Below are 14,692 nucleotides of genomic sequence, written 5' to 3' on the forward strand. Positions count from 1 at the left end.
TGCTGTGGCACTGTTCACAATAGCCAAGATTTGGAAGCAACCTACGTGTCCATCAACAGATGGATAAAGAAAATGTGGTACTTAACACACAATGGAATACCATTCAGCCATAAAAAAAAGAACAAGATCCTATCATTTGCAACAACATGGATGGAACTGGATGTTGTCATTATGTTAAATGAAATAAGCCAGGCACAGAAAGACAAACATTGCATGTTCTCACTTATTTGTGGGAATTACAAATCAAAACAATTGAACACATGGAGATAGAGAGGAGAAGGCTAGTTACCAGAGGTTGAGAAGGGTAGTGGGGCAGGGTTGGGGGAATGTGGAGATGGTTAATGGATGCAAAATAAAAAAATAGAAAGAATGAATAATACCTGATATTTGATAGCATAACAGGGTGACTATAGTCAAAATAATTTAATTGCACACTTTATAATTGGATTGTTTATAGCACAAAGGATAAATGCTTGAGGGAATGGCTATCCCATTTTCCATGTGATTATTACGCATTGTATGCCTGCATCAAAATATCTCATGTATCCCTTATATCTATGTGCTCACAAAAATTAAAAATTAAAAAACAGAATGCTAAATTGCCTCATAGTGGTAGATATTAAATATATTGCCAATATATTTTAATGTAATATAATAAATCTGTGTAAGCTATATAAAAATAGTAAAATTCTAAATCAACCTACTTGCTGAAATTCTGTAATTTTTTAAAGTCTATTTTTAAAATTACATCTTTTTTTTTTTTTTTTTTTTTTTTTTAAATTGAGACGGAGTCTCGCTCTGTCGCCAGGCTGGAGTGCAGTGGCAGGATCTCGGCTCACTGTAAGCTCCACTTTCCGGGTTCACGCCATTCTCCTGCCTTGGCCTCCCGAGTAGTGGGACTACGCCCAGCTAATTTTTTTATTTTTAGTAGAGACGGGGTTTCACCATGGTCTCGATCTCCTGACCTCGTGATCCGCCTGCCTCGGCGTCCCAAAGTGCTGGGATTATAGGCGAGAGCCACCACGCCTGGCCTAAAATTACATCTTTTTAACTCCGTATTAAATATTTGTGCACAACTGTATCCTAGTACCTGGAATGGTCCCTGGAACGTGCTCTACTTAATCAGGATTTCCAAGAATGAACAAGGCCTATGACAGAGACTGCTAATTTCTCCCAATAGCTATTTCTCCCCTTTGTCATTAGTAAGCCCCAAGTTTTACCTTTTGCCCTCCAGCTAACAGACCATACTTCTCCATCTCTCTGTCAGCTATAGACAAATGACTAAGTTCTGGCCAAGAAGAATGGAAATATTGTGCAAAGGATAGTAGAACTAATTAAAGGGAAGGGTATACCCCTTTTTCTGCCCCTTCCTCCTTCCAGCTGACGAAAATTTGACAGTAGGAACAGCCCCTAACACCTGAAACTGCCATACAGGCCCAGACTGCCCGCCTCTCATTTTCTTTACAGTGAAAGAAATATAAATCTCTAATTTAAGCTAATGTTATTGGGTTTGGGGTTTTTTGCTTGTTAGATGGTAATACACTGATACATGTAACGTTTTTATAAAGCACCACAGGCTATTCTGATATGGCTTTTGGATAAAAAGTAATTTAGAGAAATTTCAGTTTAGTTAAAAAAAAATACACCGAAAGTACAAACAACAAAAATTTAAAACTTTGATGCATAAAGGAACACTATCAACAAAGTAAAAAGACAACCCAGGAAATGGAAGGAAGTATTTGCAAATCATATATCTAACAAGGGTCTAGTATCTACAATATATACACAATCATGTACAGAACTCTACGCTCAGCAATAAGATGACAAACAATCCAATTAAAAAATGGGCAAAGGACTCAGACATTTCTCCAAAAAAGACAGCCAGTAAGCACATGAAAAGATGAGTTCAACAGGTGAATGCAAATCATAAACACAATGAGATACCACTTCACACCTACTAGAATGGCTATAATTTTTTTTAAAAAAAAGAAAATAAGTGTTCAGAAGAATGTGGGGAAAGTGGAACTTTGCATATTGCTGATGGGAATGTAAAACGTCAGCCACTGCGGAAAACAGTATGGTGGTTCTTTAAAATGTTAAACATAGAAACACCATCTAACCCAGGAATCCTACTTTTAGGTATATACCCAAAAGAATTGAATACAAATGCTCAAATACTTGCAAAAACATTCACAGCATTACTATTTGCAACAGCCAAAAGGTAGAAACAGCCCAAATGCCCATAAATGGATATACAGATACAATGTGATATATACATACCATACTTCTTAGCCATCAAAGGCAAAGTGCTTATACATGCTACAATGCGCATGAACCTCAAAAACATTAGGCTAAGGGAGAAAGCCAGACACAGAAGCTCACATATTGTATAATTCCATTTACACGAAATGTTCAAGACAGGCAAATCCATAGAGAAGAAGCAGATTCGTGGTTTTCAGGGACTGGGGATGGGGTACCAGAGAGACAGGGAGTATTTAATGGGTACAGGGTTCCTTGTGGAATGATGAAAATGTTTTGGAATAAGACAGAGGTGATAACTGCACACTGTGAATGTATTAATGCCACTGAATTGTATGCTCAAAAGAGTGAATTTTATGTTATGTGAATTCTATCCCATTTTTCCCCAAAGTTTAAAAGAACTCAAAAAAAAAAAAAAAAGACAAACATGCATTTATCATATGACCTATGACCTGGCCATTCTACTAGATATTTCCATAAGAAAAATAAAAGCTTATGTCCACATAAATACTTGTATATACAAATATTCATAGCTTTATTTATAATATCCCCAAACTGGAAACAACCTAAATATCCATCAACATGTGAATGGATAAACTGTGGTACAGCCACAAAATGGAATATCATTTAGCAATAAAAAGGAGTTAACTATTGATACATTCAGCGACATGGATGAACCTCAAAATAACTATGCTGAGTTAAAGAAGCCAGAACCCGCCCCCAAAAGTGCATACGATATGATTCCATTACTATAAAATTTTAGAAAATTCCTGCCAATGTCTAGTGATAAAAAGCTGATCAATACTTGCCTGTGGATGGGGGTGGAAGAAAGAATAAGGGATATTACAAAGAGGCAGTAAGGAACTTTTGGAAGGAATAGAAGTATTCCTTATCTTGATTGTTGTGGTGACAGTTTCACTAGTGCAAGCACATGTCAAAACTCATTCAATAACAGTTTAAATACGTGGAGTTTATTGTACATCAATTATACGTCAATAAAGCTATAAAAATGATAGCATTTAGCAATAGGAAGGGCATAGTAAAAAAACCACTCATATATTGACAATGGAAGTTAAAACAATAATACATTTCATATGCAGCCTTAAAAACATTTTTGGGCTGGACATGATGGCTCACACCCGTAATCCCAGCACTCTGGGAGGCTGAGACGGGCAGATTACTTGAGCCCAGGGGTTTGAGACCAGCTTGGGCAACAGGGCAAAACCCCATCTCTATAAAAAATACAAAAATGAGCCGGGTGTGGTGGTGCATGCCTGTGGTCCCAGCTATGAGGAAGGCTAACTTGGGACGATCATCTGACCCAGGGAAGTTAAGGCTGCAGTGAGCTGAGACCTCTGCAGTGAGCCAAGATCATGCCACTGCACTCCAGCCTGGGCGACAGAGCAAGACTTTGTCTCAAAAAATAAAAAATTTTTTCAAAGAATAGGTGTTTTTCAAAGAAAAATACTCACTCTGATATTACTGAAAATGATGTAAGATATTAAACAGCAAGATGCATTGTATTTGTGTTTGCACACTCATGTGTATAAGCTAAGACACACCAAAATCCTGCTGGTGGTTGCTGGGACCTGGTTTTCATATTCTTCTCTATAAGCTCTAAAATAGCTTTCTGTATACTCCTGTATATCTTCCATATATATCTCATAATTCTATAATTAGCGAAATATTTTAAAATACGCCTACTTAGGAACTGATAATTGCATCATCAAATTTTGCATCAGATTGGCAATGCATCAGATGCAAAACAATGTTTGCAAGGTCCTCTTAAATACTGCAGAACATATGACTTTCTCAGATGTCTGGTATGGGAGCCCAATCTGAGAATTTAAGCACACTCCTGTCTCATCATGGTTGCAAAGCTTCGACCTAAAAATAGCTTGCTCTTACATAATCACTAGCCACAGATTTGTATATTTTACATATCCTCAAAATAAATAGTTTTTTTTTTTGAGATACGCCACCAGAGGTAAATAATCATTTTTAAAAGTAGGGAAGTTTAATCATAATCTAAACAAATCTTGTTTTCAGAAGTTATTCAGGGGCTCTGCAATTGATAGTTTTGCTGATGAAAATAACTAGAAACAGTTATATGTAACAGAAGTAACACCATAGCAATGAATTGTTTAAATAAACTTTATTTGAATCATATACAATACCTTTATGTTAAGTGTATGATTCAGTAAGCTTTTACAAATATATACGCCGCCATGTAACTAGCACCACCATCAAGATACAGGACATTTCCATTACCTCTCTCCCCCAAGTTCTCATGTGCCCCTTTCACGGTCACTCTCCCCCATGTGCCCCTTTCACGGTCACTGTCCCCCTTCTCTCCACCCCCTACCCAGGCAACCACTGCTCTGACTTCAATAACCATGGTTTAGGTTTGTCTGTTTTTGAACTTAAAATAAATGGAATCATGCAGGGTGTGTACTCTTTTGTATCTAGCTTTTTTTACTAGTATAATGTTCTTTAGATTCATCCATGTTTTTGCAACTATACGCAGTTCTTTCCTTTTTACAAAGGACTATTCCACTGTACATTTATTCCATGATTTCCAGCTCCGCTTTTTACATGCCTTCAGCTCTGTCTCTGAAAATAGCTTTCTGTATATGGTAAACATTGTTAGGCCCAGAAGGACAATCACTTTGCTTTTTTAGAATTTTGATATTTTATTCTGTTTTGACAAGTGTTTTCACAGTTCTCAAACTGAGGTAAAAAATTTAAATGTGCTGGAATCACAACTTAGGAGGTTATATGTCTATCTGAAGAAAACACTGCAAATATGTTAAAGCAGTGCTTCCCAAGTTTTGTCAGTATGTATATTTACTTTACACCAGGTGCTGTGCTAAGTACGTGCTGTACTAGCTCATATGATCCTCCCCACCCACAATCTTGTGAGGTTTGCCACTGAACAACACACTTAAAAATGGTTACGATGGTAAATCATATGTATATTTTACCAAAAACAAAAAACAATAAAACTTTTTCCTCCAAATATTGGACTAAAATATATAGTTAGGATGACTCATATTAACACACCAACAAAACCCCAAAACACTGCGATTGCAATATTTGCCATGTATTTTTACTTGGGTCCTTGACATTACCTATAACAAAGTCACTATCAAAATGTATATATTCTTGACACAAAACCATAGCATAAGGTAAAAATATATTCCCAACACTTCATTTTTTTGAAACGGAGTTGCACTCTGTCACCCAGGCTGGAGTGCAGTGGCGCGATCTCGGCTCACTGCAACCTCCACCTCCCGGGTTCAAGTGATTCTCCTGCCTCAGCCTCCCGAGTAGCTGGGATTACAGGCATGCGTCACTGCACCTGGCTAATTTTTTTGTATTTTTAGTAGCAAAAAATTTCACCATGTTGGCCAGGCTGGTCTCGAACTCCTGACCTCAAGCTATCCGCCCACCTCTGCCTCCCAAAGTGCTGGGATTACAGGTGTGAGCCACTACGTTCAGCCTATTCCTAACATTTTAACAACTATTTACTTAATACTACTTGCAGAAAAAAATCCCAAAATGTAGTCAGCATATGTGAATGCACCCTGGGGAACAACCATATTCAATTAATTCACAAGAGAATGTTGGAATCTAGTGATTGCCAAACTGTAAGACTATGAAATTACAATACAGTTCCCAATAGGGATTGACGCAGGACCTACCAGTGATGAAGCCTACACAGAAACTGTGGATGAACCACAAACCAGGCTTTGAATTCTCTTAAGGCCAAAACAGAAAGAGAAATACAATCAATTGTGCCCTTTTAATTGTCCACCAGGAAAAAAAAAACACCAACTGTTCCTTGGAGAAAAGAAACTCCCTCTTTGCCCTTAGCTCTAATTTCTCATCCAGGATTATATAAAGGGGAGTAAGAGTATTAGAGGGCAAAATAATCATGTTGTTAAGGCCAATATTTTTTGAAATGCCCTTCAACAAAAATTAAGGGTGTAACGCCAACTTATAATTCAGTGAGGGCCATTTTTCTGAAAAATCAAGAAAACATAGTCCAGGCTATAGCATTCTGACAGGCCAGTTTAACATTAAGATAAGGAATCTTAGGAAATAGACTACTTCTATATTTTCCCAAAATGCGACTTCTACCAAGCCAAATCTTCACAAAAAGATGGACAGCAATTTCCTGTTGAGAACCTGGAACACAGGTATTCTGTGCAAAATCAGAAGATATTTCAATACCCTTGGCCATCTGCTTATCTTATTTCTAAATGTGGCATCCTTTGGTCAAATTGAGAAAGTAGCTTATATAGATGGCCACATCCGCTTGGGCTGTCTAAAGACTTTTCCTAAGTCTAGGCGTGTATGATATAGTTGGGCTGTTCTTTGGCATTAAATTTGGAGGCAGTTATCCTGGATTTAGTTCTAAGTTTTGCCCGCTCCTAGCGGCATATGCTTGGGCAAGTAAATGACACTCTCCTCCTGGCCCTAGCATCCTCTGTAAAATAAAGAATAGATCACTTTCAAACTTTTCTATGGAGGTACCGCAGTGGATGAATGGGTGCTTTTACTTTCATCGGTCTTATATACTGGCATCCACATCCTGCCTCCACTGCCAATAAAACCTCTGAAGACCATCAGACCAGATGTTCTACAATCTAATACCGATTCTGAGACTTTGGGATTTTAAACAACTAGTCCTTAACACAAATACCACAAATAAATAAAATATTCAAAATTAAATAAGTTCTAACACAAGTAAGAAATTTTGGCCAGGCACAGTGGCTCACACCTGTAATCCCAGCACTTTGGGAGGCCGAGGTGGGTGGATCACCTGAGGTCAGGAGTTCGTCACCAGCCTGGCCAAGATGGTGAAATCCCATCTCTACTAAAAATATAAAAATTAACCAGCCATGGTGGCATGCGCCTGTAGTCCCAGCTACTTGGGATGCTGAGACAGGAGAATTGCTTGAACCTGGGAGGCAGCGGTTTCAGTGAGCAGAGATCACGTTACTGCACTCCAGCCTGGGCGACAGAGTGATACTCCATCTTGGAAAAAGAAAAAGAAAAAGAAAAAGAAATTTACTAAGAATTATGCTCACAAATCATTTCTAATCCAGCTGTTCAGAACCCAGAAAAACAACAACAAAAATCTCCCTCACAGAAACATTATTATAAGTGAGGGCTGATTTCTCAAGTAAACTCAAAAAGGCCCAGTGTCCTGAATGTAGCAAATAATTAGGCAAAAGAACAGCTGACGTCACCAGAGCATAGCATGTAGCATGTTGTCACCGGAGCATAGCATCTCCCCTGCCACTGTGTGTAACAGTGTGTCCATGTCTGCAGCCTGGGTGGGTATGAGCTCCCCTCTCCCAGGGGAAAGACATCTCCCCTGCATCTCTCTTGACCACTGAGCACAACCACTGTGCTTCTTGTTATTCCCATCACCACCTACTGCTTCCCATCGGGGTTTCTCTCCTCCAACACACCATGCCACAAACCAGTTTTGCTCCCTTTCTCTCCCTGAGTTGTGCACAAGTTCCTTTTAAGATATTTTCGTGAGAATAAAACATGGAAACTGACAGGTTTCTCCTTATTGCATCTGAATGTCACAGCCACCTGTGATGTAGAAAGAAAGGGTCTGCGTTAACGACTCCGTGTTAGACAAAAGAACGTGAGCCTTGGAGTAAGTTGCCCAGAGTCAAAGAGCAAGAAAAGGGTCCCTGTTACTGAAACCCATGCCTGGGGACCCTACATAATAGCAGGTTTGAGTTCTATCATTTATGCCTTCCTCCCTGGCTTTCCCCACGCTCTCCCTGGCTCTGTCTTCAGCTGGTCTGCATAAAGAATAACACAGATCATGAGGTAAACAATGGTGAGCCTTTGAGCATCTAAAGAAAACCAGACACAGGTTATCCTGGCTTGTTCCTCTTTGGTGTTGGGGCCAAGGTTCTGAGAAGAAGGAAAGGGGGAGATGAATATGTTGAGCAGATGGAAAAATCCTCAAAGTGTAGGAGAGAGAAAACAAGGGAGAAAGAAAAAAGGTGGAAAAGGCAACAAGGGGATGAGGGTCATTCTTCTACCACTCAAGAATAGAAAAGAAAGTATGAAGGAAAAAGAGGAAGAAGGTGAGCAGTAGGTGAGCAAAAGAAACAGAAATGCCAAGCAGTGGAAACAGGACGAGGTGGCTCACAGAAAAAACTTGGAAGTCATCCAAACCTTCTGTACCTTTTAGGCTTTTTAAATGTTAGGGGGATAGTACCTAGACTCCATTCATAAGCAGTCTTCAGGCTGGAAAGATGGAGTCTACAAAAATACATTATTAGAGTCTAAAAAATAAACCAACGGCTAAAGCTAACAGTGATACATTCACGAAATTACAAAAAATGCTAGAACTACGAAATATACAACTAGAAATCCAGAAAGGAAAAACTTTGAATTATCCAGGTTCAAAAGACAGAGGATAATAAATGTTCTAAAGAAAAAAATAAAACTCAAAAAACTGATACAGATAATTGTAAAATTTAATTTTAAAAAAGATGCAATAGATAAGAAACTAAAGACCGTTCTTTGAAAAGTAATCAAAAAAAGCTTTAATGAGACTTATAGGGAGGGACTGAGATTCATTTGAAAAGAAATTTATTTGGAGATATCCAAGTCAGTATTAGAAAAAAGAAAATGGAAAAAGTTTAGGAAAGATATATAATTACAGATCCAACCTAAGTTAAAAAAAAAAAAGAAAGAAAATTATGAATACCTTTATAATACATTTCAAAACTTAAAAGAATTCCTAAAAATATATAACTTGTCAAAACTGACCCAAAAAGAAATAGAAAACTAAAATAATCCTAGAAACATTAAATATATGTAGTTACTAGTTAAAAAAAAAACTTTACAAAGATAAGGTGGTTTTATAAGAAAGTTCTAAATTTTCAAGGAACAGACCATTTCAATTTTATACAAAACAGCAAAGGAGGGAATACTCCTAAACTCACTTTATGAGGTCAGTATAACCTTGATATTAAACCCTGATGAGGACAGAACAAAAAAAGAAAATTACAAGTCAATCTTACTTATAAACATACATACTAAAATAGATACTAAAATCCAAAGGAAACCAAATTGAGAACAATGTTAAAGATAATACATCATAACCAAATTAGGTTTATTCCAAGTACACAAAGATGGCTGGCTTGGCACTGGAAACAGTCCAAATATATCATTTACCAGCTTAGCAGATTTAAAAAAACCATACAACCCTTTTAATAGACACCAAAGAACATCTGATAAAACTCAACACCCTTTAATGATAAAAAAAATTTTCAACAATATATGAAAGGAAACTCTTTAAATCTGGTAAATGGTATTTGTTAAATACCATTCTTAACAGTGAATCATTAGAAGTTAGAGGTATGCCTTTTTTTTTTTTTTTAAATCAGGGATGAACATGAATCCTACCATCTCAGCTTCTATGCAACATTGTCCTGAAGGCCCTAGCCAGTAAATGAAGAATTACAAAAAGAAATGAAATGTGTAAGAATTGAAAAAAAGGAATAAAATTACAATCATCCACAGATTATGAATGTCTACAAAGTCTATCTTCATCATTTGTTTCCTCACCTCCCTCACACTCACTCCTTTGCATGCTGCAATCTGGCTTCCTCTTATGTCAAGCTTCCTTTTTTTGTTGTTTATTTTTTATTTTTGAGACAGGGTCTCACTCTGTCACCCAGGTTGGAATGCAGTGGTGCAGTCTCGGCTCACTGCAACCTCCCCTTCCCAGGCCCAAGTGATCCTCCTACCTCAGCCTCCCAAGTAGCTGGGACCACAGGTGCACACCACCACACCCAGCTAATTTTTTATATTTTTTTTGGGAGAGACAGGGTTTCACTATGCTGCTGAGGCTGGTCTCAAATTCCTGAGCTCAGGGGATCCACCTGCTTCAGCCTCCCAAAATGCTGCGATTACAGGTGTGAGCCACTGCACCTGGCCCTATATGAAGCTTCTAAAACTTCCAAAATCAAAGATTTCAATGACCAACCACCATGGCACACATATACCTATATAACAAATCTGCATGTTCTGCACATGTACCCCATTTTTTTTTGTTTTTGTTTTTTAGAAAAAATAAAGGAAAAAAAAGATTCCAATGACCACCTGGCTACCAAATACAATGGACATGCTTCAGTTCTTACCTGTCCTCTGGGCAGCTTGTCTCCCTTGATCTCCCCTGTTCTAGAGTTCCTCCTGCCTCTCTGGTCGCCTTTTCTCAGTCATCTCCACTGGCTCCCTTTCTTTCACTTGTCTTTTAAGCATCAGTATTCAATCTTTTGATTTCAAACTTGTTCAAGCGTCTTCTCCTAGGTAACATTATTCGTTCCTTTGACCTCAATTACCATGTTGACGTAGGTGACTCCCAATGCTAATGATTCTCAAATTTTTATCAGACACCTAAGGACAATCTTACTTGAACATAATAGCATGTCCAAAAGGCAACTCATCTTTCCACATTCCCTCAATTCCCTACCTTAATCACCTCTATACAGTGTGACTTGTGCCATAAAACTGGGTGTCACCTATGGCTCCACCTTCATTCCCCACATTCCCTGGAGTACCAGCTCCTATTCATGCCGTTTGTTTCTGAAGCATCTCTGCTCTGCATCCCCCTTTCCTTCTCCACAGTCACTAACTTGGTTCAGTCCCTGATTATCTCTCTTGAGTTCCTGCACCTGGTCGTCCTGTTTGCAGGCCTGTGCTCCTCTCTAATCCTTCTCATAAGGAGCAAATCTCATTAAATCTGATTAAAATCTTTCAGTGACTCTAACTGCCCAAGATAAGTTTCGAACTCTATAAGCATACTTTACAAAGTCCTTCAAAAGGACCCCGCTTCTATCTTTTAGACTGGACTTTCTCTTTATTCTTTCCCTTCCATTCCGGTCTTAACGATTTGCTAAAATTTACCCTCTTCTGTTGCTTCTGGGTATGTTGCACCTTCTGTAAGAATTTATTTAGTCACCTGACGCCGGTATAAGTCAGATGACTACATAGATTTTAGTCATCTAATTTTATGAAGACAGACTGGTCTAGCAGTTTCTTATAAGGTAAACAATCTATAAATATTTATCAAATGACTCAAAAAAAAGTCACAGAAAGTAACAGACATCAAATCCTCAATGGACCATTATAAAAATGTATAGGGGTTACACCCTTAAGACTCTGAAGTTAAAATGAAAGGAAAATTATGTCTGCCTATATAACTCATGCAAAATTAATCAGAGTACAAGCCAGGCACTGCATTCTATATTGGGAATATGGTACGGAATAAGACAAACACAGTCACATGCAGATTATAGTCTTGGTACCATCGTGAGATACAAAAACTTATCAGGATAGATCTTGAGTCACATCAAGCATGACAAGCCTAACACACACACACACACACACACACACACACACACCATGCTAATTAAAACCTTATGTATTTTGTTCAAAAATTCCCCAAAAGTTATCACAATGAAATCCAGCTTCAGTTTACATAAACTTCATTCTATTTATAACTTATGTCTTAGCTGCTTCCAAAATTAATTTGTAGCTATATCTCTGGACTATATATAAAATAAACTGAAAATTTTAGGAATATATGTTGAATAATGTGGACTGAATAACAATTCTAAATTTCTATTTTTAGAGGAATTAAAATATTTCTTATAATTCTCAGAAAGCTGATAAACAGTCATATATTTGAATGCCAGAAGTAGTAAGTTTAGCCAACCTTTTTATAAAGAATGTAAATGATAAATGTCAAAAATTGTACATGGAGCTTAGATTATGATGTTGCATAATTATTTTCTCAGTTATGCACAATATTTAAACATGCTCAAACTATTTATAAACCACCCTGAGTATCAGTAAGACCTTTGCTTTAATATGGAAAACCTAACAGGCTCTTTTACTTCCCCCCCATTATGCAGGGCTCACAACTGGGGGCAAAGAAATTATACGGGTCACTTTCACTGTCAATACAATCTCCTAAATTTAACCTTTAAAGGGTTTTTAAAGAGGGGAGACTAGAGTCCAGCAACTATATTCAGGCTGATACAAGTTCCTTTAAAACTCCAGTCTGGCAAAAGTAGCACTGGGACAGAGGCTGAAATAGCTCCCTGGTAGTTATGCTCAGATTAAATATCCACTAAACAGAAATTGAGTTACCTTGCCAAAGACATCAGCTTAGGGACTAAAAAATTTGATTTGGAGAGGAGATTAACTTCGGTGTGTCCTCAAAATGGAAAGCAAGTTTGTATTTAGACACCCCCCACCCCACCCCGTTTTCCTGCCTACACACTATTCCACCAACACACATTTCAAGCATTTTTCTCTCTCGAAAAAGATTCCTGCTAAGCAATGCCTTAATTCAGTCTTTGAACCTAATTAAAATTAAGAAACTTTTAATAGCCTTAATAACTCAGAAAAGCTGTACTAAGCTCTTCTCTGGCATCTTCCTCTCCTTACCACCCTCTCTCCAAACCCAGAAAAATCCAGCACAACAGAAAGCACAAAACAACTAGCCACATGCTCTGAATGCTAGGAAACGTGATTCCCCGCTGGTTTAGGCTACAAAGAAAGCCTGTGAGTAATCAAAAATCCTTAATCAAAACATTAAAGTTAAAAGCCACCTCCCCATTCCCCAACACAAATAGAATTTCCCTTTCTCTCCTTAATCCGCTCATGCACTTCTCGTATTCTTGGAATTTCAGCGGCCTCTGAAGAGCGGATGGTAAGTTCATCTCAATGTCAGCCGGAGCACAGCCATGCGAAAAATCACTAACTTGGAAGGTTATTTAGGACAATAATGTCTTTCACTGTCTTACTCCTCCCACTCCAGCCCTTCTTGACCTAATACCAATATTCAACTGAGAAACACATCAGTCCACGGGCTTTTTCCCCAGGGGCTCTTCCTGCAGGAACCCCACGGCAGGGAGACCCGCACTGGGAAGAGAGCAGGGTCTCCCGGCTGGTGCGCCCCTCCCCACGCGCCCGCGGCTGCACCCCACTCTGCACACACACGTCCAACTATTCTTGGATCTACTCACATCCCTGGATCAAGTCTGGCCGCCCTCCCCGCTCCGTCCCCCGGCGTCCTCCGTGGCCCCAGGCTGCCCCGCAAAGCCACCGAGCTGCAAATACACCCACCTACCTGGGCCAGATCCGAGGACCCCGGCTGGCGCGCTCCACCCTGCGCTCCTCGCAAGCTCCAGCGCGAATGCGCTCGGCCTGCTCCTCCTCCTCCCCTCCAGTCGAGCCGAGGCGAGCCGATCCGGGAGGCGCGACCCAGGGCGGCCCGCAAGGTCTCCCTAAGTCACCTTTGCGCAGCCTGCCCCTGGCTCCGGCCGGGCAGCAGCGCCAGCCTTCCCCAGCGAGGTCGGGCAGAGGCGTTGCCCGCCAGCGGCCCAGGACTCCCGCGCCGCGCCCGCCCGGGCCGCAGAGGTCTGCGCTGCCCCTCCGCCGCCGCTGGCTCGGCCGCAGACCCGCCCTCCGGGGCTCGCGGGGAGAGCGCGGGCGGGCGGCGGCAAGGCCTGCGGCGGGCGGCTCCCTGCGCGCGGCGGGCAGCGTCCGGGCCGCTCCTCCCCTTCCCCAGCGCCGCTGGCGGGCGGAGGCGCAGGTAGGGACCGCCGGGGAAGCCTGCACGGCCCTCCGAGGAGAGGTCGGGGACTGCTCCTTGGGCTCTACGTGAGTGCCGCGCCGAGGCGCCTGCGAGGTCCTAGAGCTGCTGTGCGCTCGGCCCTCTCCTGGAGACACCGGCCCTGGCAACTTTTTTTTTTTCTTTTTTCTTTTTTTTTTTTTTTAACCAACCCGCCCCTTGGGAAACTCTGGAAAGCAAAGGAATCTTCTCTCCAGTCCTGCCTGTCACTTACTCCGGCTCACGCTGAAGCGTTCGCGTTTACGGTTCCAAAACCAAGACTGAAAGGCAGTCTTCACATATTTATTGTTTATACCCTAGTTGGGACACTGAGCAACAAGGAAAACAACGGTATTAATCCTACTACCGTGAAACCTACTTAGGTAAAATTATTCCAGCCAGGCTTGAAGGGCAAAGGTTCAGAGGACAGGAAAACCCACCACCCAAATACCACACTTAAGTGGGATGTTCAGGTTAATGAAATTTATGGTTAACTGTAACACTCTGATGGAGGGAAAGAAATCTTTTTGTTTCAACATGTTTCAAACCTTTCACCTTACTAAAGTGTTTAACTCTGTCCTCATACTTTAGTGAGTTCAGAGTAAAAATGAACAAAATTAAATATTTCTTTCACAAGATCCTAGGTACTTTAAGTCCCATTGAAGTTGGTGGTAGCTGTAATTGCACTACAGACCTAGAATGTGTTAAAGACCATTCCAGGCCATGCTGGGAAAATTGGGAATGAATGTCAGTGAGGTTTCA

General features: G+C 40.2%; 1 protein-coding gene across 4 annotated transcripts in view; it reads right to left on the reverse strand.

Annotated features, from left to right (window-relative positions):
• Nucleotides 1-14,692, reverse strand: part of OSBPL1A (oxysterol binding protein like 1A) — a 235,780-nt gene that overhangs the window by 96,130 nt on the left and 124,958 nt on the right. The window contains exon 1 of one of the 4 annotated variants that reach the window (NM_018030.4): nt 13,448-14,058. The exons of the other annotated variants lie outside the window; for them this stretch is intronic. The gene's annotated coding sequence lies outside the window, so the exon portion shown is untranslated. Of the gene's footprint in view, nt 1-13,447; nt 14,059-14,692 lie in introns of those variants that run through there. 4 annotated transcript variants of the gene reach the window in all.

Source organism: Homo sapiens, chromosome 18, assembly GCF_000001405.40.
Source record: "Homo sapiens chromosome 18, GRCh38.p14 Primary Assembly".
In the NCBI taxonomy this organism is placed as follows: Eukaryota; Metazoa; Chordata; class Mammalia; order Primates; family Hominidae; genus Homo; species Homo sapiens.